We start from the raw sequence: 1,736 nt of genomic DNA on the forward strand, positions 1-1,736 counted from the left end.
GATTGCAGACATGAGCCACCATGTCCGGCCGTGCTTTTTGTTCTATAGGACAGATTCCCAGAAGTACAATTCCTGATTCAAAGGGTTTGTCTAGTTTTAATTTTAACTGATATGGGTGGTCTGCTCTCCACATTGTCTGTAGCAATTCATGTCCCCGCCACCAGCAATGTATGAAACACTTATTTCCTGCATCTGTAAAGATTTTAAGAGTTATTACTCTTTTCAACTTTTGCCAATCTGATCAGAGGGGTGAGAAATGGCGTTCAGGCCACCTTCATGTATAAGCAAAGGCATCGGATCAGACAACCTCTAGGATTGTTCTAGCTCAAGTGTCCATATTTCTCAAATTATTTTTTTTCATAACTTATCTGTTAGCAGGTGTGTGCTTAGCCCCCATTCACTGACTGTTTGCAAATCCCAGAGACATCTTTGAAAAAATTGCCAGAAACCAACACATCAAGAACTGGAAAGAAAGAAAGTTGAATAGAGTCCAGAAAATCATCTTGCCAATACTGTTTAGCTTGTAAAAACCATCTAAGCCAAATCCCTGCGATTTCATCCAGAACAAATAATAAAAAAGCAGTGTGTAATATTTCTAAGATGAGCATATTCATAGTAAATATTTTAAGATCCATGGCTGCACAAAATGCATTTTCCTTGGAGGTTCACTTTTCAAATGGCTTCGTATTAAAAGTGCCATTTCAACAAATATTCATGGGGAAATTCATCGATGTGTTTTACCATTTATAGCTAAAATTTCAAAGGACTTAGGAAAAAAAGGTATGATGCATATCCTACCCTCTTCGGAGAAGTGGTGAAAAATACGTGCTATGCTTTGGTTTTCTCTGACTGTAAAACTCCCAGGCAAGTATCTACACTTTTCATTCCCACTCTTCTCTGGCTATTCCTGGGGTGGATGGCAGCCTGGTCAGAGGACAATCAGCAAGGACTAAGGGAGGAAGGGGAAGTGAGAGGTTAGGAAAGCCTAGGCGCCAAGCCTCTCCAAAGTCTCCGGAGCTCTTCCAACAGCTACCATCTGGTGAGCATTTAATGCACACACAGCAGCTTGACAGAAACACTCTATATTCTCTCACTGCAACCTCACTATCACCCTGTGAAGTAGTTATTATTATTATTGAGATGGAGTTTCGCTCTTGTAATCCAGGCTGGAGTGCAATGGTACAATCTCAGCTCACTGCAACCTCCACCTCCCAGGTTCAAGCGATTCTCCTGCCTCAGCCTCCTGAATAGCTGGGATTACACGCACCCCACTACCATGCCCAGCTACATTTTTTTGTATGTTTAGTAGAGACAGGGTTTCACCATGTTGGACAGGCTGGTCTCGAACTCCTGAACTCAGGTGATCCACCCGCCTTGGCCTACCAAAGTGCTGGGATTACAGGCATGAACCACCGCGCCTGGCCAATAGTTACCATTATTATCCTGTTTTGCAGATAAGAAAATGGGGCCTCAGAAAAGTCAAGCGATTTGTCCCTGAGGTCACACAACTAGTTAACAGGTAGAAAGGGGATGCAGACTCAGGACTATCTAGCTCCAACTTGCTATATTATTAGTCCCTCTGTGCCTCAGTTTCCCTTCTATAGCTTCCCCAGATCTCAAGGAGCCCACTGGGGCTGTAGAGATCGAAGGAAGTTTGGTATATGGTGCTAAATGCTTTCTTCATCTCCCCGGCCGCTTGGTCTCCGGTAAGCACGATTTGGCTGCCTGCTCTGGAC

General features: G+C 43.6%; 1 annotated feature.

The window, feature by feature from the left end:
* Positions 1,010-1,511: an enhancer, noted in NCBI's record as "H3K27ac hESC enhancer chr17:6038771-6039272 (GRCh37/hg19 assembly coordinates)". NCBI's record gives its function as "activates a minimal SCP1, AML or CMV promoter by ChIP-STARR-seq in primed H9 embryonic stem cells {active_cell/tissue: H9 hESC(primed)}" and the evidence as "EXISTENCE:reporter gene assay evidence [ECO:0000049][PMID:30033119]".

The sequence above is a fragment of the Homo sapiens genome, chromosome 17 (assembly GCF_000001405.40).
Source record: "Homo sapiens chromosome 17, GRCh38.p14 Primary Assembly".
Lineage (NCBI taxonomy): Eukaryota > Metazoa > Chordata > Mammalia > Primates > Hominidae > Homo > Homo sapiens.